General features: G+C 40.4%; 1 protein-coding gene across 3 annotated transcripts in view; it reads left to right on the plus strand.

The window, feature by feature from the left end:
* Positions 1-27,717, plus strand: part of C8A (complement C8 alpha chain) — a 63,427-nt gene that overhangs the window by 16,709 nt on the left and 19,001 nt on the right. Inside the window, exons 3-8 of one of the 3 annotated variants that reach the window (XM_017002234.2) lie at positions 3,444-3,588; positions 4,557-4,704; positions 9,940-10,129; positions 11,976-12,176; positions 14,422-14,662; positions 22,593-24,624. In XM_017002234.2, the coding sequence (XP_016857723.1) occupies positions 3,444-3,588; positions 4,557-4,704; positions 9,940-10,129; positions 11,976-12,176; positions 14,422-14,662; positions 22,593-22,642 (975 nt within the window). In that variant the 3' untranslated portion in view covers positions 22,643-24,624. Of the gene's footprint in view, positions 1-3,443; positions 3,589-4,556; positions 4,705-9,939; positions 10,130-11,975; positions 12,177-14,421; positions 14,663-21,132; positions 22,312-22,592; positions 24,625-27,717 lie in introns of those variants that run through there. The other 2 variants (XM_011542079.3, NM_000562.3) reach the window with 2 other exon arrangements.

Genomic DNA, 27,717 nt, shown 5'->3' on the forward strand with positions numbered 1-27,717 from the left:
TTATGATGAATCTTTGCAATGTTCTCAGACATATTTCATTTAAAAATGAGAAAACAGGATCAGAGATGTTAAGTAGTTGACCCAGTGATGCATATACAGTAGGTGGCAGAGCTGGAATTCTAACTCAGCTCAAAATGGGTTTCCCATAGTATATTTAACTTCATAAACTTGTGAAGATTAAATAAGATAAGGAATGTAAAGTGTTTGGCCAAGAGTAGGCACTCAGTACATGGTAGCCACCATAACCATTATCAAGTTGGTAGGTACAGGTGTTAAAAATCGAATATAATTTTTAGAGTAAGAAAGAAGATTGGCTGCTAATTCAAAGAAGGAGTACTCAGAGGCAAGTACCTACTGTGTCTGATTTCGAATAACATTATGTGTTATTTGTTTGGAGAAGCTCAAGCTGTTACTAAACTATATTAAATCTGTTCCTATAAGTCACCATGAAAGCACTGCAGAACAGTGGCATGTACCAGATCCCTGTTGCTTATTTAACTGTGAACTCATCACCCCATAACATGTACAACAGATATGCTAAGGTATCCTGGCACCAAGTTTCAGGCTCAAATTTGCCCTTTTGTCAAAGAAGCAAAAATGTAGTTTAGAATGACCTAACTGCAATATTCCAAGCAGCAATATTTTCTTTCTTTGGACCTTGGATAAATACCTTTACAATTCACTCCCAACCTCATTCTCAATGAAGTGGAATTATAAGCACAACATATTCATAATAAAAAGCTGTAATCAAAATAGATGTCATGTAATGGCAAACAGTCGTCTGAGTTGGAGAGCACTATGCCATGCATAATGTCCTTGTTAGATATTCCATTCTCATTATGACATTGACTGGATATCTACTCAGTGCTGGCCATGTTAAAAAGTCTGAGATGCTTTCCTTCAAATAACATGTAACATTAGTTGATGATAAAGGAAAAATACAGAAAAAAATTTAAGATAATATATCTTAATTCAAGTAGAAAATGAAGACAATAAGATCTATATGAGTTTAAAAGAAAGTCAAACCTTTAGGGTATGAATTGTGGGAAAAAGGGTGAACAGTCTTAAAAGACCTCATGGTGGAAAACAGGCTCTAAGCTATATTTTAAAGGAAGGAAAAATTTGAAAGTGAGATGAGAAGTCATTCTAAGAAGAAAAACCATGAACAAGAGTCTACAGCCAGGAATAAACATAGTATGTTTAGGAACAATGAGCAAGATATATTTGGCTGAAGTCATAGTTTCATGTAAGGAAATTATAGAAATGTATTTAATGTGGATAGCAGTTACACTTCAAAGAGTGGGAATGACTAAACACTTTGGAACAGAGGAAGTAACAGATAAACCAGTGTTCTTGGAAGGCACATCCAGAAATAAACTGACATAAAGAGAGGAAAAAAAAAAGAAAGAAAGAAAATTGGCTCTACATTTCTATGCTGATCACTCCTTTATTTGCTGTGCTGAGGGGCAAGAGTGTGGGTGGGATATTAAAATATACTGATGTTCTCCAACTGGTCATTAATTACAATCTCTTCCTACAGAGTTTACAAATCTCTTACTGCTGTTATTAACTGAAAGGCAGGACAGACCTATGGACAGGTTTGATCTTCACCTCTCCTTGCTACCTTTGCCACTTTGTTAATGAGCAGCTAAGGAGACAGAGGTGGGTAAGAAGAGAAGTGAGCTGCACTGCTCCACAACTCACCCATGGAATCACCTGGAAATACTGCACGGATAACAGTAACAATGTGAAAACCACCTCTGCTTATTGAACACCAATAATATACCAGAAACAGGGCTGGGGGCTTCTTTACACATTCTCTTACTCAGAGCTCACACAGTCCTTTCAAGGGAAAATGCCATTACACCCATTTCACACACTGGAAGACAGAAGCTCAGAAAAGGGAAGTGGCTTGCTCATGGGCAGTTGGTAAGAAAATCTGGGCCCTGAACCCAAGTCTGTCTAATCCTCATGTCCATGCTCTGTCAACTGCAGGACACAGGTGAAAGGATATTAGTCACTATAATTAGGTAAGTCATTTAGCTCACCCACCTCATTGCACAGATTTAGAAACTGAGCCACAAAGTACCAGACACTGATACTTCACACAGCAAGTAAGAAATTGATTGAGGTAGGAAACCCACTTCTCTTGCTGCTCAAATCATTGCTTTCTTACCTACATACTAACGTTCTTAAAGGAAGGGCCCGTGGACTGAGCCAGGGAGAGAGGCACCAGGAAATACAGGGCTGCACGTTTCCTTGTCGGCCACTGTGTGTTTGCTATCTGCACTGCATGTTTTGTATTATTACACATTTTATGTCCTCAACTAGGGTCTACGCTTCTTGAAGGCAGGGATAGAACCTCATGTTTCTCTGGATATCCTAGTTTTCAGCTTCCTTCTTCTACGCTAGTGCCTGACACTGTACACTATATAGAAAGCATGATTATGAAACTCTAAAGTCCCAAGATTGGCGTGCATTTTAATTCCTTCCTTCTGTCAAGTGTCTATTTATCTGCAGTCAAAGGTGGACCCAGGGACTCAGATGATGTCTTCAGAGCTCTCTTTCTCTCTCTATCTCTTGGATGGGTGCTTTCTGCATAATAGGCAAGGCATCTACAACTTGATGTCCACAGTTTCCAACAATTCCAGGAGAAAGAATCTGTCTCTTTGTAAAAGAAAATCCCCAGAGAGAACTTGATTGGATGGGGTTGAGTCATGTGCCAATCCTTGAAGCAATGATTACAACAACTAGGCAGATGTGATGCTTTGGTGAACCAGGCCTGGTTCATACCCACACATCCCTGTGACTGAGGAAGTGAGTCCTTTCCCACCTTAACTATAGGAGATATATCTCCAAAGAAAGAGGGGAATTCCAGGACCAGAAGAAATGTTGCAAAGAAAAAGCAACAGATGTCTTCTGAACGTGCCTCTTGAGTACCTGACCTTAGATCAAGTGCCAAGTGTATGAAGCCAAATAAGACATGGTCCTCTCTTCTCTACCCTCAATATGAAAATTGCTCACAGTCTGGTGGGAGAGATGGAGAACTACGTGGATGCTCAATTGCAACTTCATATGCCAAGTGCTAGTAGACAGGGAAGCGAGCAACTTGAAGAATGTTACTGAAAGATTAATAGGAATTTAACTTCTTCAAGAAGAGGGAACAGAGGTTATTCCTAGCAAGTAGGAAGACCCTAGAAATATCTTGTCCAGGCCTTTCATTTGATGCTTGGAGGCCCTATTCAACGTTCCAATCAGTGATTGTGCCACTTCTGGTGATACACCACTGTTTATGCATATTCATCCCTCAAAAGACAGCTTCACAGGCAGGTCTCAATCATTAGATAATTATTTCTTATGTTGAGCCGAAACCAGGCTGCACAAGTCTTGGTTGATTGATTGATTGGTTGACAAGAATGTGTCTTGTTCAAAATCTGGTTTAGTACCGACACCGGAGCCTCTTGCAGCCAAACAAGTTTGGGGGAACCATCTGCAGTGGTGACATCTGGGATCAAGCCAGCTGCTCCAGTTCTACAACTTGTGTAAGGCAAGCACAGTGTGGACAGGATTTCCAGTGTAAGGAGACAGGTGAGTAGCATTTCAGCAGAATAACAGCTGTGCCTGTCAAAAGTGACATGTGAAACACTTCCCCAGGGAGCTTATTAAAATGCATACTCCTGAGCCCTTCCTCTCGAGGTTGCCATTCTCTAGGTTTGGGATGGGTCCTAGGAATCTGCATTTTAAGCCAAGCCAGCAGCCCAAGTAATTTTGATTCAACTTTGTAGGAACATCTGTTGATTCATTTAGAAAAAGACAATTCATTCATTCACCCACTCATTGAACAAATATTATTGACCACATATTATGTGCCAGGAAGTATGCTATCTGCTGTTAATATAGACATGAAAAAAATAATGCACCTTACCTTGATGTACTCCTAGTCTAGAGACCTAGGAAGAGTTAATTACAACACTGTGTGATAGCCATGGGCACATGCATGGCCTAGTGGGTCTTTCTAGCAGGAGGTTCCCAAATCTGCTTTGGGCAGTCTGGGTGGGCTTTGAAATGGTATTTGAGTAGAGACTTGGGAAACAAAATGGAACTTTCTAGGAGAAAGAACATGCAAAAGCATGGGGATCAGAGACTCCCAATCAGCCCAGAATGTTTGCAGCATCAGGGCTTTTGGAAGAGAGGTAGGTGATGGGTAGGTAGGTGATGGGCAGGTAGGGTCCAGACTGTGGCATTTGGAAGAAGAGGAATGGAGAACCACTGGAGGATACTGAGCAAGGGGATTACATGGGCAGACTGGCATTTTAGAAAGATTACTGGGGGCTGCAATGTGGAGAATTAGAGAGAGAGAAACTCAGGCAATGCCCAAGCTGGGAGGCTGCAGACAGGAGCTCATTAGGCTGGAAGGAAGGCAGAGGCAGTGAGAACAGAAAGAGAATGGGACAGATGGGAGGTTTATTTCTGAGGAAGAAAGGACTTACTGATTGTGGGTGTGAGTCTGGAGGGAGAGGGGAACCCGAGGAGCAGCCACAGTCTCTTCTCTCCAGGTCGCTGCCTGAAACGCCACCTTGTGTGTAATGGAGACCAGGACTGCCTTGATGGCTCTGATGAGGACGACTGTGAAGATGTCAGGGCCATTGACGAAGACTGCAGCCAGTATGAACCAATTCCAGGATCACAGAAGGCAGCCTTGGGGTGAGGCCCTGCCTACTAGCTATTTAGGAGCAGGGAATGATTTGTCTTCAATCGTGAGCATTAGTTTTGAGGACAGAAGGGGGCCATTTTGGAGGGTTCCTCTGGAGTGCATGCTGTGAGCTGCTCTCATTGTCCCCAGAGATGGCTTGTCCAGTCCTGCCTATGTGACACTGCCCATGCTCTCCCCTCATGTCTCTGCTTGAGAGTTCTCCTCTCTTTTAGTACACCTACCCTACTGCTCATCTCCCTTCACCCCAGTGCCATTTCTAAGGCCCATTTAAGAAGCCACAGCTTCCATGAAGCCTTCCTGATGTCTCAGAAAGATAGCTCTTCTCTGATCTAAGCCGTTGCCTTTCCAATAGCCCTGTTCCCAATCTGCTTTGCACTGTAGATGCTTGCAATAACCAGGGCTAATGGTGTGACACAGTGTAAAGAAAATGGGCTCAGGGTGAGACAGAGAGGGGCTTTAACCCCCACTTTCCCATTGCTTACTTAAACCTCTCAGGGCACAGTTTCTTTATCTGTTGAGATGAAATCAGCCTTGATTCTAACTTCTCTTCATTCACCTTATGTTCAGGGTCAGTTCCTTGAATGCATCACACTCTTTCCTTCTGAGCCTTAATCAATATTCCTGGAATATTCTTTCCCGAATTCCTACCTGGGTAACTCCTCATCTAATGTTCTGCACTGAATTTTGTCTCCCCTTACCCCCACATTTATGTGTTGAAGCTCTAACTCCCAATGTGACTGAATTAGGAAATAGGGATTTTAGAGAGGTAATTAAGGTTAAATGAGGTCATAGGGTAGGACCCTAATTCAAGAGGACTGGTGGCTTTATAAGAAGACAAAGATATACCAGCGATCTCTCTCTTTCCACACATGCATAGCCAATGAGACATGTGAGGACACAGCGAAAAGGCGGCTGTCTTTGAGACAGGAAGAGAGCCTCCAGCAGAAAACAACCTTGATAACACCTTGATCTTGGACTCCTAGCCTCCAGAACCATGAGAAAATAAACTTCTGTTGTGTAGGGCACCTAGTCTATGGTATTTTGTTGTGGCAGCCCCTGCAGACTAGTACACCGAGGTACCATCTCCCCTAGGTAGTCTTTGTAACAGCCCCCTCCCCTGCTCTTGACTTTGCCTAGGTTGACTTAGTCCCCTCCCATTGCTCCCAGAGACTCCTGCAAGTCTTATTCTCACAGCTCTTACCCAATAGGCTGGGGATGTCTGTCGAGGTGTCTATCTGCCCAGGCTAGGGGCTCCTTGTCATCTCTGCTTCTCCAGTACCGGAACAGGGCTTAGCTCAGAATGACGTTCCAGTATTGTTAGTCCTCTGCCACTCTGTCTTTGCCTAGGGTCTTGTCTCCTAACTTGAATAAACTCTTTGAGGGCAGAGGTTGCTTCTGACTCAGCTTTTTCATCTCCTCAGCCCCTGTGTCAGAGCTTGTCCTATAGCCTCTCGCTGAGTGTTGGTTGAATTGAAACAAATCAATATGATCAGCTGGATCTTTACAAATAAGGAAATGAGGAGATGTAGTAACTGTCACAGAGTGACCCAGCCCTGTTGCAGCCCACCCAAGGACAAGTGGGGGTTCCATGAAATGCAGCCCTCATTCATTATGGTTAATTGCTCTGAGATCAGAGCCCACCTACTTGATGGAATTGAACTCTGTAAGTGCATGTAGATATACACATATAAAAAGATGAGAAAATTCTGTTTTCTTTCATACCAGCAGTATTAGTTTGCTGGGATTGCCATAACAAAACACCACATCCTGAGTGGCTTAAACAGCAGAAATTTACTTTCTCACAATTCTGGAGACTAGAAGTCTGAAGTCAGGGTGTCAGCAGAGTGGTTTCTTCTGAGGCCTCTCTCCCTGGCTTGTTGATGGCTGCCTTCTTCCTGTGTCTGCACATGTTCTTCCCTCGTACATATCTGTGTCCTAATTTCCCCTTCCTGTAAGAACACCACTCACATTGGATAACAGCCCACCATAATGACCTCATTGCAGCTTAATTACCCCATTAAGGACTCCGTCTCCAAATATACTCACACTCTGAGGCTTTGGGAGTTACAATTTCAACACATGAATGTTGGGGACATGTAATCCAGCCCGTAACATCAATAAAAGGGGATTCTTGTTGATTTCAAAAGTGACTATAGAGTAAACAATAGAAGTGTGAAATATTGACATGTTGAAATGAAAAATAATCCCTTCCTTATTGGCAGAACATGGATCTTCTCCCACGTGATTTAACTAGAAACATTTCAAATACGCTTTCTGAACAGTGTGCTTCACCCACACTGAATACTGAAACTGGTAAAATGGTCCTGCTCCACTCCAGCCACTGATGTTTGATGGTTCTTCTATTTATCTCAGATCTCAAAGGCCTTCCTTTCTTGCTCTTATTTTTTTTCTAATTTAAGCATTTCCCAGATTAAAATTTTTATTTATTGTTAGAGAAGTAATACATGTTTGAAATAAAAATTGACAGTTTTCTTCCATCTTCTCTTACCTGCACTCCGTCCAACAGCCCTCTCTCCCTTCCCTCCCTAGAGCTGACCCCTGTTAACAGTTTGGTGGAGATACTTCCAGATTATGTAAAAACTGCATTGACAATATGCATTATATAGAAAATATACCTATGTGTACTGGGCATTATAGACACAGGTATATTTTACATAAATGTGATCATGCTATACATATTGTCTGCAACTTTCACTTTTATACTTAATAGTAGAGTTTTAAGTTTTCCCCCAAATTTTCTATCTCTTTTTAATAAGCAGCATATTCTTCTATAACATAGTTAGCAAACTATGGCCTGAAGGCCAAATTCAGCCGGCTATTCTTACAAATAAAGTTTTATTGAAATACAGCTTTTACCCTGCGATGACAGAGTTGAGTAGTTGCAACACAGCCCTGTGACCTGCAAAGCCTAAAGCATTTACTATCTGGCTCTTTATTAAAAAAAAATTTCCAACTCCTCATCTATAGTATAATTATATAATTATTTGACTACTTCCTATTGAAAGAGAATTAGATTATTTCCCATATTTTCCTCTTACAAAAATGCTGCAATGAACATTCTTGTACACATAGTTTTGTACACATGTGTGGATATTTCTGCATAGTAGATTTCCAAAAAGTAGAACTTCTTTGACTACACCTTTCCCTTTTAACTGGGGCTTTCACAACCAGCTTTTCCAAATATATATAGGCTTTATGCTTAGAGGTTATATTATACTCTTAGGGATTACCGTTTCTTTGAGTTTTGTTCAGTCTATTAAGAGGCTGTATTTATAAGCTACAGGCAGAAACATGTTCAATGGTCAGGAAGATAGAAACTTCAGGGAAAGTAAAGGGAAGGAACCCAGATTTTACTATCAACAAAATCTAGGAAAAAATCCAGCTATGACTAGAGACAAGTTATTTAATTTTTCTGAACTTCAATTTCTGCATTTGCAAAGTTGTCGTGAGGTTGAAAGCTAAACGTCTAGTAGAGTATGTATTCAATTTACTGTAGTTATTATTACATCACTTCCACTAATATGAAGAAAGAGAAGGAGAAAGAAAGAGAAAAAGGAAGTTAACATACATTGAATTTCTACAATCTGCCAGGTGCTCTATAATTATCCACTTATTCCTTTGAAGTGGGTTTTATTCGCAGTTTATCCCCTGCTCCTTTCCTGCCTTGTGCCTTTTCACAGAGGCCATAAACAATCATGACGATCGCTATGCTACAGGTAGTCACTGCATCCCTTGGGAACACAGAGGAGGAAACAGCAGTCTTTCCAGAGCATTCAAAGAAGGCTGTTGACAGAAGGCAACATTTGAGTTGGCTCCTTAAGGTTAAATAGGAGTTTGAGAGACAAAAAACGAGCAATAACTACATTATCTGCAACATAAGAGGCTTTGATTGTCAGGTCTTAGAACTCTTAGCCAACTCTACAGTTTTTGTTCTGTTAACTTTCCCTTTTTAGAAAATTAAAGCTGTATTTCATCTGCTTGACATTATTTTACCTGAATATGGTAAAACCATCCATATCCTAAAACATGGAACCCGGGTTGATGATTTTTAAATACTCTAGAAAGGAAAGTATAGAGAAATATTTCTGGAAGAGTGTTGGGCTAGGGAAAAGTAAGTATAATTTGTTGAATGCCTAATATGTACTTTACTGCTGTTTTAGTTTCATACTCTCAGCATCACAAAAACCATGAGAGGTAGGTATTATTATGTCTATTCTTTAAATGAGGAAAATGAAATGCAGAGAGCTTCTAGACTGTGTTCAAAGTCATACAGCTAGTAAGTGGCAAAGCTGGAAATTAAACAGGAGTCTCCCTGACTTTTGAACTGTGCACCCTCCAATGTCCCATGCTGCCTCAAAGATAATGGCCTTTCTGAGGATTAGAGTCTCAACCTTAGCACTATGAATTGCATCCAATATTTCAAAGTTTTTTTTTGTAGCAGCAGAGCCCTTATACTATACTAAGAATTATACTTAATACTAACAATTGCTACAATAGCAACCTTTATTCAGTCCTTAATGTATGCTGAGCACAATTATGATTTCTTTACATGTTTCAACTCATTTAACTCTATGAGGGCAGTAGTATTTAAGAACTGCTTTTTACAAATGACTAAACCGAGGCACAGAGAGGTTAAATGGTATGCCTGAGGTCACACAGCTAGATGTGGCAGAGATGGGAAATGGGCCCAGACTGTCTGGCTGCTGCCCTTGGATTCATGATAATTGCACATATTCTTCTCTAACTTATTCAACAAATATTTAGGGCTGCTTCCCATGTGGGAATATGATTCTAGATGCTAAATAGGACTGTCTAGATGATCTGGGTAAAGGAAATCTGAAGGCTCAGGCCAGCCCATTTAGTCTCCAAGTGTTACCTAAAGTGGCCCATAAGCTTCTTGGAGGAACCCCAGGGCTCCACAGAACATAGATTGAGAAACTGTTACTTGTACCAGCTACAACATCTTTCAGAAGATGACATTATATGCTACCTTGCTTTTCTAATTCTCTCTCCTAAAAGCTGCTTTTGCTTTTGCTTTTTAATTTCCAACTTTTATTTTAAGTTCAGGGGTACATGCGCAGGATGTGCAGGTTTGTCACATAGGTAAACGTGTGCCATGGTGGTTTAATATACAGATCATCCCATCACCCAGGTATAAAACCCAGCATCCACTAGCTATTTAGAAGCTGCTTTGTTCCATGTAGGTACAATATCCTGACCCAGGAAGATGCTCAGAGTGTGTACGATGCCAGTTATTATGGGGGCCAGTGTGAGACGGTATACAATGGGGAATGGAGGGAGCTTCGATATGACTCCACCTGTGAACGTCTCTACTATGGAGATGATGAGAAATACTTTCGGAAACCCTACAACTTTCTGAAGTACCACTTTGAAGTAAGTCTGAACAGAGGGGCTCTGAGGCCACTGTGGTGTAGGTGGCAGAGAGGCAGAGGCCTATTTGTGGAGATGACTTGCTCTGGAAGCTTTTGTTTTCTATAAAGTTTGCTGGTGTCTGAAGTCTCCTTCATACCCATCCCCACACATGCTTAGTGTCGAAGGGTGCTGAGAGGCAGATCATAAATGTGGCTACCCACCTGTTAAATCTTGGCTCCATTCCAAAATCAGTAAAATAGATCTGAGGCTCTATTATCTGGGCTGCCAATCAGACAACCTATTTCTAAGTTGTGGCTCTGTTAGACTATATACAAGACTGTTAGCAGCTAACTCACTGCCCTCCTTGGGCCCAGTTTTCTAATCTGTAGAGTGTGGGGGAGGACAGGGCATAGATGAGCAGGATTCTGAGACCTGTGCTTTTGTTTCACCAAAGGCAGCTCACACTGATCATTTTCATGTCTTGGCTCTTTGTATGTGATTTTGTATGAAGCAAGGGTTCTTCTGTACAAAAATGCTTGCAAATTGCTGACGATCACTAAGACTCTCTCCATCTCTACAATTTGGTGGTCTCTTGGTCACTTGGAGCTCATGATCAGTCAAGGGCCTACTCATGGCCATTAATTTTCTTACCACTCATCCTTTGGGTGAAACATCCACACAGCGAACATCATTGAATGCTTAACATGTGTCAGATCTTCTACTTTCACACAAATTCTCCCATTTAATCCTCACAACACAATGGGATAGATATTATCATTGCCTCATTTTAGATATTAAGAAAAAGAAACACAAAGGGTTAAAGTGTCAGGATCAAACTCTACTGCAGTTGGTGGCAAAGACAAGACCCAAACCTAGATCTGTCTGAACTAAGTCCAGGCTGCACAACATTTAGAAGAAGAGATAGATTATACACTTTCTAGAGAGAGATAGTAGGATCCTAGGATTCTGAACAAAATACTGACAGAAAATAAGGCCAAGCTTATAGGGCCTGTTTTTAAGAAGTTTGCTCCCCCAACCCCACTCCAACCTCTACTCTCTATCAGGCCAATGGTAAATCAAGGTGGAAGACATAAACAACACCATGTTCCTAATCTCAAGGAAGGTCTTGGGGCTCTGTATCAGGCAAGACGGACTAAGTGCTTTGGGAACAAAGAATTCTCAAATCTCAGCAGCTGAAGCAACAATACCTTGCTTATGCTATTTGTCCACCCTAAAGTAGAAAGGAAACTGACCATCACAGACACTCAGGGACTCAAGGTAATGGAGGCTCCATTTCAACACATGCTCTCATGATTGCAGAGCAAACTACTCACAGGCTCATAAGGCTTACTTCTTTGGCTCAAACAAGGCCAAGACCATGTCTCAGTTCAAGACAGCAGAGAAATGAAATCCTGTATACCACTGCCTAAGACAATCCAAATCTGCAGGTTTCCTTTGCTTCTTTCCTCCCAGGCTCCTGCCCAGATGTGGCTTTCTGTATCTCACTATTGCAAAGACAAGCAGCCAGCCTTCTCTCCTGGAAGGATAAGCCAGCAAGAAAGAAATCCACGCTCAGAGCAATATAGCATTTGATCAGAATCATCTGCATCTGTGTGTGTGTGTGTGTGTGTGTGCAAGCACATGTGGTGTGTAAATAAGTATTTTATCAGTACCACTAAACACTAACAATGCTGTGTTTTCTATATTTTAATAAGTATCAGTCTAATGACTGGATTGCCTTATAAAAGAATTACCTACCATAATCTAAAATTTTAGATATTTTACAAAGCAAAGATTTAAGTATTAAATATGAATTGAGAAATGGCTCTATGTGCACAAAGCTAATATCTATCCTTTTTTTTTTCAGGCCCTGGCAGATACTGGAATCTCCTCAGAGTTTTATGATAATGCAAATGACCTTCTTTCCAAAGTTAAAAAAGACAAGTCTGACTCATTTGGAGTGACCATCGGCATAGGCCCAGCCGGCAGCCCTTTATTGGTGGGTGTAGGTGTATCCCACTCACAAGACACTTCATTCTTGAACGAATTAAACAAGTATAATGAGAAGGTATTCAAACATAATGTCTGTGTCTCACAGTATTCCATAATATACACTGAACACGTATTACCTTAATTGCATTAAAAAGTACAGTAGTAATTGAACCTTAATTTGCTTGTGTAATTGGAAATGTCTGATCAGTGGTAATCAGGTTTGTTTTTCTTATTACGCTTTTGCACACAGAATCATCACAAAGGAAATAAAATTGAATGATAAGACTAGGACTCTTATCACTTTGCCCCCCCCATCATCATTTTTTATGGTTACCTGGAGCATATAGGGAAATGTGTAGAATGGTAATGTTTTAAGAGAAACAGCCAGACCCTCTAAATTTCACTTGGAAGAATTGTAAAGCAAGCCTTGCTTTTCCAAAAAGATAGAAGGACTGGTATGCTAAAAAAAAAAAAAAAAAAATTTCATTTTTCCAGTAAACCTTCACCATTAAGTGCCTATTATCCTGGGGGGTCAATATATGCTTCCTTGAGGAAAGAACATTGATCTAAGCTTAGATCTAAAGATTAGTGCAAATTGTCCAGACAAAGGGAGACAAAAGTTGGCAGAAAGGTGCTCTAGGCATGGAAATCAGCATGTGCGAGGGCCTGGAGATGAGGAAGCCACACAAAAACTTGGGATTGAAAGTACTTCAGCCAGCTGAAGCACAGGGTGGGAAAGGAAAACAGAGAGTGATGAGGTTGGAGATGTAATCAGGTGGCCAGGGGAATATTTATTGAATTAATTAGAAGCTTACTAAAAATTCTCAATTGCATTAATACCAAGACTATGGATCAAGGTGGGGTTCAAAAATTATCTTGAATGATGAAAATATAGTTATAAAAATCAACTTACTCAACACACATAAATTGAGTCCTAGAGCTTTGCCAAAGAATTAGCTATTGAGCTGAAGGTAAAGTCCTATATTGTTCAAGGGTTATCTGTAGCGTGTTAATATGGACTTTTCTAAAAGCATGTGGACTCCTCTAACTTCCATCATCACTTTGAATCAAGGCTTCTATTGCCTGAAAGTAAAGCCCATAGATGGCCATCTTCCTGTAAAACCAATCCAAAATTCTTCCAGTGCTATCTCTTATTTTTTTATATAAAGATGCTGCTTTTCTTTATTACTTAGTTCAAGATTACTATTGGAATGTAAACTCCATGGGGGCAGGAGCCTATCTCATTCAAGATTATGTCCTCTGCACCTAGTGTAATGCATTCTACTATAGGCATTGTAGATCTTTGCTCAATAACTTCAATTGAATGACATTTCAGCATGTCACTAAAGATATCTTAAACACAGTTTTTAATGGATATGTAATATTAGCATAGGAGGTTTCACAATGCAGTGCTTTGATTAGCACTAGGAGAAGTGTGGGGGTGGGAATAGATTGGGAGAAGAACAGAAGGGTGAAGCACAATGAAGAAACCATTGTAGTAGCTCACCCAGGTGAGAGCTGATGAGAACTTGACCTAGGCAGGGGCAATGGGAACAGAGATGGAGGTGTGGGGGAAGTCTGGCACACATTGGTGCCTAGTATGTGCTTGTGAAATATAGTAGTACTCCAATTACATGTATTTATGTTCATATACGTGTTTATATATAAATATATATTTACATAAATATATATTTATATATATTTACATAAATATATTTATTTAAATATATATTTACATAAATATATATTTATGTAAATATATATTTATATTTATTTAAATATATATTTAAATAAATATATATTTATTTAAATATATATTTAAATATATATTTAAGTAAATATATATATATTTCCGTAAATATATATTTATTTAAATATATATTTACGTAAATACATATATATATTTCTTACAGCTACTAAAAGCTGACCTTTTGCATCCTTTCTTTTTTGTTTTTTTTTGTTTGTTTTTTTTTTTGAGGCGGAGTCTTGCTCTATTGCCAGGCTGGAGCGATCTCGGCTCACCGCAACCTCTGACTCCCTGGTTCAAGCGATTCTCCTGCCTCAGCTTCCCGAGTAGCTGGGATTACAGGCATGCACCACCATGCCCAGCTAATTTTTGTATTTTTAGTAGAGACGGGGTTTCACCATGTTAGCCAGGATGGTCTCGATCTCCTGACCTTGTGATCCTCCAGCTTCTGCCTCCCAAAATGCTGGGATTACAGGCATGAGCCACTGCACCCAGAGACCTTTTGCATTATTTCTAATGGTAAAATATATGCTCTCTTTGTTCTTTTGCTTTATTCAATGGCGGTTGCTGGCAGAAATTCATTTTCACAAGAATCTTCACAAAGGTGCAGACTGCACATTTTAAGATGAGGAAGGATGACATTATGCTGGATGAAGGAATGCTGCAGTCATTAATGGAGCTTCCAGATCAGTACAATTATGGCATGTATGCCAAGTTCATCAATGACTATGGCACCCATTACATCACATCTGGATCCATGGGTGGCATTTATGAATATATCCTGGTGATTGACAAAGCAAAAATGGAATCCCTTGGTAAGTAAAGCAGAAGCTCTATGTACACAGTAGTCAACACAGACACCAGGTCATGGTTTGAAGTTTTCTAAGCACTGACTATGAGCCATGGGTGATCTCATTTAGTTTTTAGGACAACTCTATAGGATAGCATAAGTATTATTACTCCCAAGGAACTGAGATCCAGAAGAGTGAGACTTGCTAATAAGTACCACAAACAGGATTTGAGCTCAGACTTGTCTAGCCCCCTAAAACTATATGCTTCTTATTGCATCATAGTTACTTTTATTTAAAAAAATAATTGGGGGGATTTTGTTATTTAAAATGTGAAAACCTGTTTTAAATGTAGTATTATTGGTTAATGGAACTACCACACAGTCAGTGAAGCTAGAAACTTACATTCATCTCAGACTCCTCCTTCTCCTTCACTCCGGTAGATCTCTAAGGTGCTTCAGTTCTCTCTCATTCTTCCACTCTCCTCCATCTCCACTCCTACTGAGGTATGCTGGGGTCTCATCTTTCCCTTGTTACTGCATCAGCTCCTAAATGGTCTCTGGGGGTGGGCTCACCTCTTCCAACCTATTGTCGATAATTGGATGGATCTTTCTACTTCACAGATCTGATTATATCACTTCCTTGCTTAATATCTTGAATGGCTAAGAATAAAGACTATTAGCATCGACCACATTAATGATGTTACTCCAACCTAGGAGAACGGTGGTTCTCAAAGTGTGGGCCCCAACAGTCAGCATAGCATCACCTGGGAACTTGCTGGCAATGTAAATTCTCAGGTCTCCATCCCAAATCTAACTAAATCAAAAACTGGGAATGGGTCCAGCTGTCTGTGTTTTAACATGTTCACCAGGTGATTCTGATGCTACTACAGTTTGAGAACCACTGACCTGTTCAATGAGTGAGAGGAAGGATAAGAGATCTATCCATATTGCAAAGCCAAGTTCAAATTCCCAGCTTTAAGAAGTTTCCTTGACTGCATCATCCCAGGCTGGCTACTCCTTTTCTTCAACACATACATAAAATTCCACACTAGGTAGTCTTTAAAAAACAATTTTCCAGTAATGGGATTGCTGGGTCAAGTGGTACTTCTGGTTCTAGATCCTTGAGGAATTGACACACTATTTTCCACAATGGCTAAACTAATGTACACTCCCACCAACGGGGTAAAAGCATTCCTGTTTCTCCACATCCTCTCCAGCATTTGTTGTTTCCTGACTTTTTAATGATTACCATTGTAACTGGCATGAGATGGTATCTCATTGTGGTTTTGATTTGCATTTCTCTAATGACCAGTGATGATGAGCTTTTTTTCATATGCTTGTTGGCCACATAAATGTCTTCTTTTGAGAAATGTCTGTTCATATCCTTTGCTCACTTTTTGATGGAATTGCTTTATTCTTGTAAATTTGTTTAATTTCCTTGCAGATTCTGGATATTAGCCCTTTGTCAGATGGATAGATTGCAAAATTTTTCTCCCATCCAAAGGATTATAAATTATTCTACTATAAAGACAGATGCACATGTAGGTTTACTGCAGCAGCATTCACAATAACAAAGCCTTGTAACCAAATCAAATGTCCCTCAATAATAGACTGGATAAAGAAAATGTGGCACATATACACCACGGAATACTATGCAGCCACAAAAAAGGATGAGTTCATGTCCTTTGCAGGGACATGGGTGAAACTGGAAACCATCATTCTCAGCAAACTAACACAGGAACAGAAAACCAAACACCACAGGTTCTCACTCATAAGTGGGAGTTGAACAATGAGAACACATGAATACAGGAAGGAGAATATCACACACCAGGGCCTGTCGGGGATGGGGGGCTAGGGGAGGGATAGCATTAGGAGAAATACCTAATGTAGATGACGGGTTGATGGATGCAGCAAACCACCATGGCATGGGTATACCTACGTAACAAACCTGCACATTCTGCACATGTATCCCAGAACTTAAAGTATATAAAAAAAATTTCCAAATGTTAGTATTATCTTCCTTATCCAGATAGCAAGATATTTGAAAAAAGTATCATGCCTGCCACTTTTCTCTCTTTAACACTCAACACAGGGGTTAATACATAGTGTTCAAAACAAGACAGGAAGTTCGAGATGAAGCATTAATTTAGATTCCTGGCTAGAGTCATTCATTAATTCATCCGTCTACATATTCATTTAAAAAAAATTCAAATGCTCTAATGAGTATACATTATGTGTTTGTGCTAGGGATATGATGGTGAACAAATCTAAATATGGTTCCTACCCTCTTGCATTACAGTATTTTTCAAATAACATGTTGTAAGCCAATTGTAGTACTCAAAATCAATGTATATGGATCACAAGAAAAATTTTGAACAACAACAAAGGACAGAATAGAAAATATCATAGTGGATTATAGGCACTAAAGATAAATTATTACTTCAATAAATCTTTTCCAGTTAAATAAAAACATGCATATTTGTATCGTGTCATGATGCAAAATAAGTAGCTTACAATGGATGTAAAAAATGTAAAATGTAAAAAAAGCATTTAAAAAACTTTACTCAAGTGGGTCTTTTAAGAATCATTCAAAAACATGAGGAAGGAAAAAAGAGTTAACATTTGTTGAGCACCTACTAAGTTTCGGGGGCTATTGCACATATTCTCATTTAATTTTCTTGACACCATTTAGAGATCGGTGTTGTCCAAGTTTTAGCTACATAAACGCTGTGGCTCATTAGAGAGGCTAATTACTTAGTCCAGGCCTGCCAGAATCTGGGGTCAGAGCCCTGGACCTCTAGTCTTCCACCATGTGGTTGTGGTATAGCCTTTCATTTGGGCTCCCGTCTTTGGGGCTGGATTACTAATTAATTGCCTGGGGTATCTGGTGGCCCCTCCTCTTTAAAATCTGTGAGGCTGAAATGGGCTTCCAATGTGGTTAATATTCAAAAGGAGCCCACCGACAAATTGTCCCAGGGATAATTACCTCAGCTCTGTTTATAGAAAACCATATGTCGATAATAGCACAATTTGCTATTTGTGAAGAGCTGATTTTCTATAAATCCGGAAAGTTAGTGTTGCTTTTCTATAAATATGGAAATGTGCTAATCATCACCTCATCTGCTGGAGACCGCTAATAAATCAGAATGTCATTTACATATTAACCTACAAAGAACAAAAATATCTACCTTCTTTCCTTTTGACAAACAGAATCACACACACCTTTTCTCCATTTTGATGTTTGCTATATTGGGCTGGTTCAAAAGTAATTGAAGTTTTTGCCATTAAAAACCACAACTTTTGTATCAATCTAATAGCTTTCTCTCTGTCTTATTCTCTTCCCCTCGGTCTCATTCCGTTTCTTTCTAGGTACCTTTCTCTCTCTCTCCCTTTTCTCTTTCCTCTTTGTCACTGTCTTTTTCTCTCTCTATGTATCTTTGATCTATATGCTATTAATTTATATTCTATTAAGTGGCTGTTTCTAAGAGACATCCTGTGTGGTGAACATTCATGTCTGCAAAGGACTGAGCTTGGCATGGAATGATTTAAGTGAACATACTCACTGGTTTGCTCTGGGGGAATCTTTTGTCCTTGGGTTTGCTCAGATCCTCTCTGGGTTCGTTCCAGAGGATGCACGAGGCTGTTTTCTTCTAATGTGCCCTTTAGATCACATGCTTCTCCCCCAAAGACAGCATGAAACCATGCATCAAAAATCAAGGGAAGTCTTGGATGTTAGGGAGGTGACGTTAGACTTCAATGAGATCCTAACATTTCCTCAAGGGCTGTGACTGACAGCTTTCTACCTTCCGCAGGTATCAGTACGGTTTGGGGCTTAAATTTCTAGATTTAGATTTTTTTCCCCTCCTTCATTCCTTCTTTGGAGCTGTCATTATTTGTCTTTGTATCAAGGTATACAAAAGAGAAATAATGTATTTCGCATTCTGACTTCTCTGGTTACAAAGCTGCCAATATATGTTGGACAGGTCAAGTACTTCAATGCCATTGTTCTGTTCAGCTGGATATTCCTGGCCTCCTTTGCACATGCTGTTCTCTCGTCTCCCAATGCTCTCTTCCCTGTCTTGCCAACCTGACAAACTTCAGCTCATCCTTCTGAACCTTGTAGGGGCATCCCCACCTCTGTGAAACCCGCTCTGATATTGCTCCACCCCTTCTCCCATAGTTTCATCTGTTTATACATTCATTCATTCAACCATGTCCACATGAGTATCACATGTGAAAAGAACAAAATCAGTATGGTCACTGTTCTTGCAAAGCTTACGATCCAGTGGAGGAAACAAAATAAACAGCCAAAGTCCAAATATCATACTTGGTCCTCTTTTACTTCCTGGCCCCATCAGCGAGATATATTGACTTTACTTCTAAAGCATATGCATCACCTGTTCTCCCTCTATTACTGTCTCACTTGTCCAAGCCACCATTGTCTCTCACCTGGATACTGCAAGAGTATGGTGGTCTCTTATTCTCTTTCTTTGTTGTTGTTGTTGTTGCAGGTGTTGTCATCACTGTTGTTCCTGTAACTCTCTGGCACTCCAAGCTTACTATAGTCTAGAGTCTTTGTATTAGCCGTCTTCTTTGCCGGAACCACCCTTTCCTCTGATGTGTGTATAGCAGTATTCTTATCATTTGGGCCTCCTTAAGCATCACCTTTTCAGAGAGACCTTTCCTGACCATGTAGTCAAGTTTCTGTTTGTTATATCACCCTATTTTAATTCTCAGCAAATCAGTAGCCCCCATACTCATAGATTTATTTGTTTATTGTCAATCTCCTGTTTCTAGAATGTTCATTCCAATCATTTTTGTTTATTACTGCATATTCATTTCCTAGAATATAGTAGGGACTTAATAACTTGTGAATTAATTGATCAATATATAATCGCGAATTGTGATAAAAGCCATTTAGAAAATGAACAAGTTGTAAAAACAGAGAGTAACTTCAGGGGGTGAGGGAAGATATTCACTTAGTTTGGGATGATCTGGGAATGTCTGTTTGAGGAAGTGAAATCCAAACTGAGATGAGATCCAAAGGATAAGGAGATGCCAAAGACAAGGGTGAAGGTGCTCTGGGTGAGTGGACAGCTTGTACAAAGGCCCTGTCTGAGGAAAGAGCATGGTGTGTTTGTGAAGGGGAAGAAGGCATGTGTGGCAGAAGCCTCGGAATAGGGGAATAATAGCAGAAACTGAGGTTGGAAGAAGCCAAGAGGTGTCAGAGGGTCTTACTGGCCGTAGTAAGAAGTATGGACTGTATCTGTGGTGGCAGAGAAACCACTGCAGGGTCATCAACAGGGCAGTGCTTGGTCTAATCAACGGGTCAGCAGACCATTCTATTGCCATGTAGAACACAGATTAGAGGAGCAGGAGTGGACTCAGGAAGAACAATTAGGGGCATTGCTGATGTCCAGGTGAGGAATAAAGAATGGACATGAAAGAATATGATAGATTTGGGATGTATTTTGAAAGTAGAAATTAAGGAATTTATAGATAGACTGGGTGTGGATTGTGAGGTGTCAATTACTCCTTTCTCTAAATTGTATTTTTATCATAGACACACATAAGTGTGTGTGCATGCACACATACACACATTGAGGTGAGAAGGACAGGATGTGTTTGCCTGAAGGTGCCAGCTTCATGGTAAAGACATCCCGCAGGCATTTGGAAATATGGTAGGGATTCTGGGGGCAAAGAAGGGACTCTAAATATACATACATATTTAAGTGCATATTATAATAATTGCAATTATATATTTGTCTCTTCTGCAGACTATGAACTTTGATGTACAAGTCCTAGGCCTATTGTCCTTGGGGTATTTTTTGTATCTAGCACAAGGCTGGGCCCACAGTAGATGCACCACGAATACTCATTGAGCTGCATTCTCCTTGCTTCTTCTACTCCTGCAACTCTTACCATCATGTGAATGACCTCCACATTTCCATCTAGAGTCTTCTTTCTTCTCCAGAATCCCTACCCATATTTTCATATGCCTGTGAACATCTCCACCAGGAAGCTGGCACCTCCAGGAATAACATTCATGTCCTTCTCACCCTAAACCCTTCAAGCGTTTCTTCCTGAATTCTTTCTCTATAGAGACACCACCATCCTCCCAGTTTACTTGACATAGAGAGGTGGAAAAATAATTGACTATTTATTATGTGCTAAGCTCCATACCAAGACTCCTCACCTAAGATTGACAATGATCCTGTGAGGGAGGCATGGTTTCCTCATTTTTACAGATGAAGGAAACAAGGCAAAAAAGTCATATCACTAGTAAATGAAAAATATACAAAGTGAGTTAAAATCCAGGGTTCTTTCTTTTTCATTTCAGCCGCCTTTACTGGGACTCACAGCCTGGGAAAAATTCTGTCTCTCCCCTCTCTCCCCCTACATATCTCATTAGTCACCTCCTCCGTATCCACAATCCATCCCTTTCTCTCTATTCCCGATTCTACTGATGACCATTCTATGCTATTTTCTCTGCAGGTTCCCTCCAGCCAAGCAGACATGCAGAATGAGAAATTTATCAGAGGTTAGATGGATGTTTCATAAATGCCTTTGGAACAAAGTTGGTGGTGGTCTGCTCCAGACCCCTTCTGTGGCTCATGTAGATAGGACCTGATACATTTGTTTCAGCTTTTGTGCCCTGGGTCCCTCAAAATGCAACATGAAGTAGAATGCTTCCTACCAGTTAAAGAATCTCAGGGAGTCTGATGGGACACCTCTATCAGGGATGCTGTAATAGAAATCCTGCATAGAATAGAAAGTTAAACTGCTGTGATTCTTGGCCTTATTGAAAGGGCTTTGCAAAGACCTCACAGAAAATGACTTATGTTGATGATTTGCTCACAAAAACAGCCGTAGCCATTCTGCCACCATATCAAAGACAGTAGGCCCCATCAAAGATGGCAGGCAGTGTGATAGTGGAAAAAATTATTTTCCCTGAGATATCTTTTTTTTTAATCTAGGCTCTAACATTCAGAAGCTGGTATGTCACATTTCTGAGTCTCAGTTTTTCCATGACTAAGGTAGAGATTGTCATAACTACTTTAAAAGTCTGTTGTGAGAATTAACCAAGATAGTCATGAAAAGCACTGTGATACCTTAAATACTGTCCAAGCAGCACTTACTATTATGGATTATAATTTCAGGTGGAGTCAGTAAGTACTAAAGCCATTTTGATCAAGCTCTGTGAAATTAAGAAACATGCCAGTGACATGGTAGCAAGAAGTCCACACTTTGAAGTCAGATACATCTGGGTGGGGCTCTTGGTTCTATTATTTAGTAGCTGTATGACTTTGATTGAGGAACAACACTTAATTTCTCTGATCCTCAGTTTCTTCAAGATCCAAATAAGAATGATAACAAGGGCTTGTTTGGTTGAAAATAATTCTAAGTGCATGTTGCATGATAAGTGTTCAATAGATATGTATTCCCTTTAGTGAAGAATATGGATATAGCACAGTGGTTGGAAACATGGACCCTGCCACTTACTAACTGTGTAATCATGGGCAGATAATTTAATCATCTTAAGTTTCAATTTCCTCACCTGCAAGCTGGAAATACTGTCATCTGCCTCATAGAGTGGTTGGTTGTGAAGAATAAGTGAACTTATTTTGTACCCACATTCCAATAAGCACTCAATAAATTTCAATTGCTGAAGTAGGTTCTGAGTCAGATTGCCTGATTCAAGTCCTATCTCCACCCTTTATCAGTCATGTGACCCACAGACAAATTAGTTTACCTCACTGTACCTCAGTTTCCTCTTCTAAATGAGTCAATGAGAGTACATACTTCATAGGGTTGTTGTAACCTTGAGGTGAAACAATCTTTGTGAGCATGTGGCATAGTGCCTGACACAGAGTAAGAGTTCAAAAATGTTACCTATTATTGCTGTACAGTGTAGGTGTTATTATTACCACATTTTTATTATTCTCAAATTACAGTTATCAACTCTGGAATGTTAACTGTTCTCTCATCTGTAAAGTGGGGATAAGAGGAAGATCCATCTCCCAGAGTTCTGCAAACACCCAGCTCTGAAACATTGCTCAACTGGGAGGGAAATCATTATCATGATGTCCAGCCTGCAGTGTCTGGTATATTTGCTGTGGACTTGGAGCCTCAGCAATCATGCCTCCTCCTCCACCTGCCCATTTCTTTGATCAAGGTCATTCATTTCTGTCTCCAGAGCTTCATCCAGTTTTGGAGGGACCACTCTTCCCATTTATCAAGGTCACTTTGAACTCTCATCACTATCTTTCAAAGTGTTAACAACTCTGCTCAAATCAGTGTGTGCTTTCCATCATCCCTGGCCCTGATGGATACCAGATAACAGTGACCCTGGGAAAGACCCTTCCAGCAAGAGTTCAGTACATCCAACCTATTATTGATCATCTTATTCCAGTCAGGGCTTGTGGACCAGCCAGTCTACCACCTAACACACAATGTCTAAAAAGCTACAGGGACAGAAGTTAAAACCTCACCAAAGTTAATGCCAATTATAGCTCTACATCCTCTTCCTCCTCCCTCCCTGCCTTCCTGTATTTCATTCAGTCCTCTAGCCTTTCCCTCGACAAACATTTATGAAGTACACATAACATGGGAAACACTGTCTAGATACCAAGATGCTTAATACATTGTCCCTCTCATCAGGGGGCTCATAGAAAGTAAGGGGGTTTCTCTTTGTCATAATCATCAGATTATGGTCAGGGATAATTTACTCTGTGGACAGCCAAATTGGTTACCACCCAAAGTGAACTAGCAATTTATTTTCTTATTCACTATTTTGTTTTAATACAATGTTTTTGCGTATAATAACATCTACTATTTGTAGAGCATAACACATCTGGCATTCAAATTGATCCTCATAATAACTTTATGAGGAATTATATTGTTATTTTCCCCAGTTTTATAGAAAGAAAGTTGAAATCCAAAGAGGTTAAGTAAATGGCTCAGTGTGACTCACTTAGTATTGAACCTAGGTCTTCTGATTTAGATTTTGTATATCTTCCAAGTACTCATCCCTTTTTCCATACATTCTGTCATTCATTCTGATACTATATGTGAGAGGCTTAGACTTTAGCAGTGGTGGTAAGTCAGCCAAGATTTACTGAGTATTCACTGTGTGGTAGACATTAGGGTAAACACCTTAAATGCACCATCTCATTTAATTCTCAGGAGAGACTTGTGAAGAGGATACTATTATATAATCTCCAATTCACAAAAGAAGAACTGAGACTCAGTGATTTTCTGTTAAATAGCTTGCCCAAGGTCACATAGCTATTACTTGGTGAAGTCAAACTCAAGAACCTGTAATGTTAAGCAAGGTGCTATAATGTCTCAAGGATGCCTTAACCTAGGATTTTTCAAACTTCAGACCATAACCCATTAGTAGATTGTAAAAGAAATTCAGTGGGTCATGATCAGCATTTAAAAAATAAAATGTAATAGAACACAAAGTATCAAAGTATGTCACACAAAGTGTAGTTAAGTATTTAAACTTTTAAGCCAAGCACAGTGGCTCCTTCTTGTAATCCTAGCATTTTTGGAGGCCAAGTCTGGAGGATCATTTGAGCCCAGGAGTTTGAGACCAGCCTGGGCAACATAGGGAGACCATATCTCTATAAAAATTAAACAAACAAACAAAAAACTAGCCAGGCATGGTACATGTGCCTGTAGTCCCGGCTACTTGGGAGGATGAGGTGGGAGGATCACTTGAGCCTGGGAGGTCGAGGTTGCAGTGAGCCAAGATCACACCATTGCACTGCAGCCTGGATAACAGAGAGAGGCCCTGTCTCAAAAAGAAAAGAAACTTCTTTTAAATGAATGTGTGTAGACTGATCATGATGTAAAATGTATTTCTTACTTTGAGAGTGGTCAAGAAAGTATTGAAAACACAGTCTTAACTCAGTGTGCTCTACTAACTATAAAAACATATTTAATTACTTTAAATAAAGGAAAAATCATCAATAGCCCTAAGGGAGGCATTGGGAAGTGTATTAGTCAGGTTCTCCAGACAAACAGAACTAATAGAATACCTGTATCTGTCTCTATTATTTATCTTTATATAAAATGTATATATAATATAGAGATTTATTACAATGAATTGGTTCATGTGATATGGAGTCTGACAAGTCCCAAGATCTGCAGTCGGCAAGCTGGACACCCAGGAGGGCTGATGCTTTCGTTTCAGTCCAAGTCTGAAGGCCCGAGAACCTGGGCAGCCAGTGATGTATTTCCAGTCTGAAGGCCAGCAGGCTTGAGACCCTGGAAGAGTTGACATTTCCATTCAACATTTCCTGTCCAAGGGCAGGAAATGAAAGCCAATGTTCCAGGTTGAAGAAAGGAAGACTCTTCTCTTATTCAGAGGAAGGTCAGTCTTTTTGTTCTAGTCAGTCCTTCGACTGATTGCATGAGGCCCATGCACATTAGAAAGGGCAGTTTACTTTATTAAGTCTAGCACTTTAAATGTTTATCTCACCCAGAAACACCCAGAATAATGTTTGATCAAATACCTAGGCATTCCACGGCCCAGTCAACTTGACATATGAAATTAACCATCATAGGAAGATAGACATGTGGGAAAGCTGGAAGCAGATGTCAATAACAACTGTGGAGCTAGGTCTGGAAAGTCTCATGTAATCAAGTGCTTCCAAGAGTGTATCTCAGTGGAAATAGAGGAATAAGCATCACTGGGTTCTAACTCTGTGGCAGGTGGCACGCTGAGCCCTTTCATACACATCATCTTATCCAAGCCTTGTGGCAACCCTTCAAGCTCTATTTTATGGCTGTCCTCATTTCACAGATGAGGACCACCAGGCACTGAAAGGCAAGATGACATGTCCAAGGTGACACAGCTGGTCAGAGGCAGGGCGAGGTTTGAAACCAGCTTTCTAATTCCAAGTGCAGTGTTTCTTGCAGTAAACCTAGATATTTTATTTCATTTATTTTCCTTTCTAAGAACATCAAACTGTTGTGATAGCTTTGAAAGTGAGTAAATTGGGTTTTAAAAATAATTAAGGGAGTATTATTTTTATATCTATTTCTAAATGTAATGTTGAGTCAGTTTGACCCATTGATTGGGAATTGTAACTGGGAGAATTGTTAATGTTTAAACTGAAAAGCATGAGATTGTTCTGAAACTTAAGTACAGGCACAGAGCCAGGAACAAGCAGAGTGTGCTGGCTGGTGACACTCAAAGAGGTGAACCTCAGAGACTTGCATGTCGGAAGAAGTGTCTAAGCCAGGGATGGCAAGTGGTCTTAATAGCAAATGCTACCTAGACTGCTGAGTTGAAGATTGGAACACAAGATGCGGGCTCAGCCAGAAAGTGCTATCATCGATTAGTGATGTCTGCCAGAGGCTGGGGACTGAGGGCAACAGGGCTCTTGGGCTGTGTATTTACTATACAGTTATTAAAATAAGACAAAGGCAGCCCAGATGATTAAGCCATGTGAGGAGAGTGATTGGGGTGGGAAAGACATTTAATCAAAGTCCCTTAAATTACCATCACATTTATATATCATGGCTGGTTGTTTGATTATAACTCCCTTTCAGGAAGATTCTGAGTAGAGCATTTACCCTTGTTGCACAAAGTTGGAAACAGGAAACAATCTCAGGGGAAAAACCGTATTCGTAATCTAATCTCCATTCATCCATTCATCCACTCATTCAGTAAATGCTCACTGAGCACCCGTGATTTCTGGGAACACAGGGGTGAGACACACAGAGCCCTTCCCTGGAGAAATGTGCAGTCAGTTGGGTGCCAAGAATAACATAATGTGATAAATGTTTAAATAGAAACAAATACAGTAGAAGCACAAAGGAGGGAGCCACAACTTTTTCTGCCCCTCCCACTTGCTAGACCCTAAAGACATTCAAAACTCATCTTCCAAAATTACTAGGAGTAGAAGTTTACCTGGAAGAGAAGGGAGTTGCATGGGAATGGTTGGGGCAGCAAGTAGGTAAGGATGAGTAAAAGGAGATGAATGTCCAGATTCACTCAAAGGTTGGACTCGGTTTTGGAAGGGCTTGCTGCTGAGGCCAGGGCATAAATGAGAACAATCTTGGCTGGATTATGCCAGGAATAGTGATGATAACAGTGGCTAGAGTCAGTGTTGACCTCTCAGAAACCACAGAGAGGATGGCAAGCTGCAGGAATCATGCAAGGTGAACACTGAAAGCAAGAGAGCCTCTGCGTCTGGAAAAGAAGGCCAGCATTTCAGTGAGCATGCACAGACCTCCAGCTCATTGTTCACCATTGGGGTGCACTATACTGAGCAACGTACTGGTCCCTGGACTTACCATACTCTTTCTCCTTGATTTGCATATGCTATTTCTTCTACCTGGAATTTTGCACCTCTCCCTCTGCCCTTCCTTATTCACCTGGTTTATGCTTATTCATCCTCAGTTCTCTGCTTAGCTCAAATAGGACTCTTCCAGGCAGTCTTTCTGTCTCCTCAGTTCTGGGTTGGAAGCCTGTTTTAGGTGCTTCAGTGTACTCAGGACTTAGATCTGAGTATCACACTATTGCAGCTGCTTGTGTCCAGTGTGCATCCTGTTAATGTTGCATCCCAGAGTCTTGCCCATTGATTGAGCATGGCCCACAGCAGAGACTCAGCGTCTTTCTAGCTGGGGTGGTTCCAAATCTGAGCCCATGTATGCTGGGCAGCCTCCAGAGCTTTCCTAACACTGCAGAGTCAGGGGTGGTATCCTAAAGTTCTGAACTGAATTGGACAATAAGGAGGGTAAGGTGGGCAGGAATCTTATTGTAAAAGGTCCTATGTTCATGGCTAAAGGCTCTGGGACAGCCCAGCAGGTCTTTTTATTTATTTATTTATTTTTGCTCCTGCTAACCAACCAGTCACCCGAACAGACAGTCACTAGATTCTAACAAGCTCCAGGCTTTATCCCCAGTTACCATGACAACCAGTCTTCACGGTGATGGATGGTATTGATTGACTGACAGACTCCTAGTTTCTTGGCTCTGTCCTTACTCCCCTTAAGTCATCTGCATATACATGGAACTGAGACTCTCAGCACCATCCTTCTGATTTTGTCTTGATTTTGAAT

This window comes from Homo sapiens, chromosome 1 (assembly GCF_000001405.40).
Source record: "Homo sapiens chromosome 1, GRCh38.p14 Primary Assembly".
NCBI classification, from domain to species: domain Eukaryota; kingdom Metazoa; phylum Chordata; class Mammalia; order Primates; family Hominidae; genus Homo; species Homo sapiens.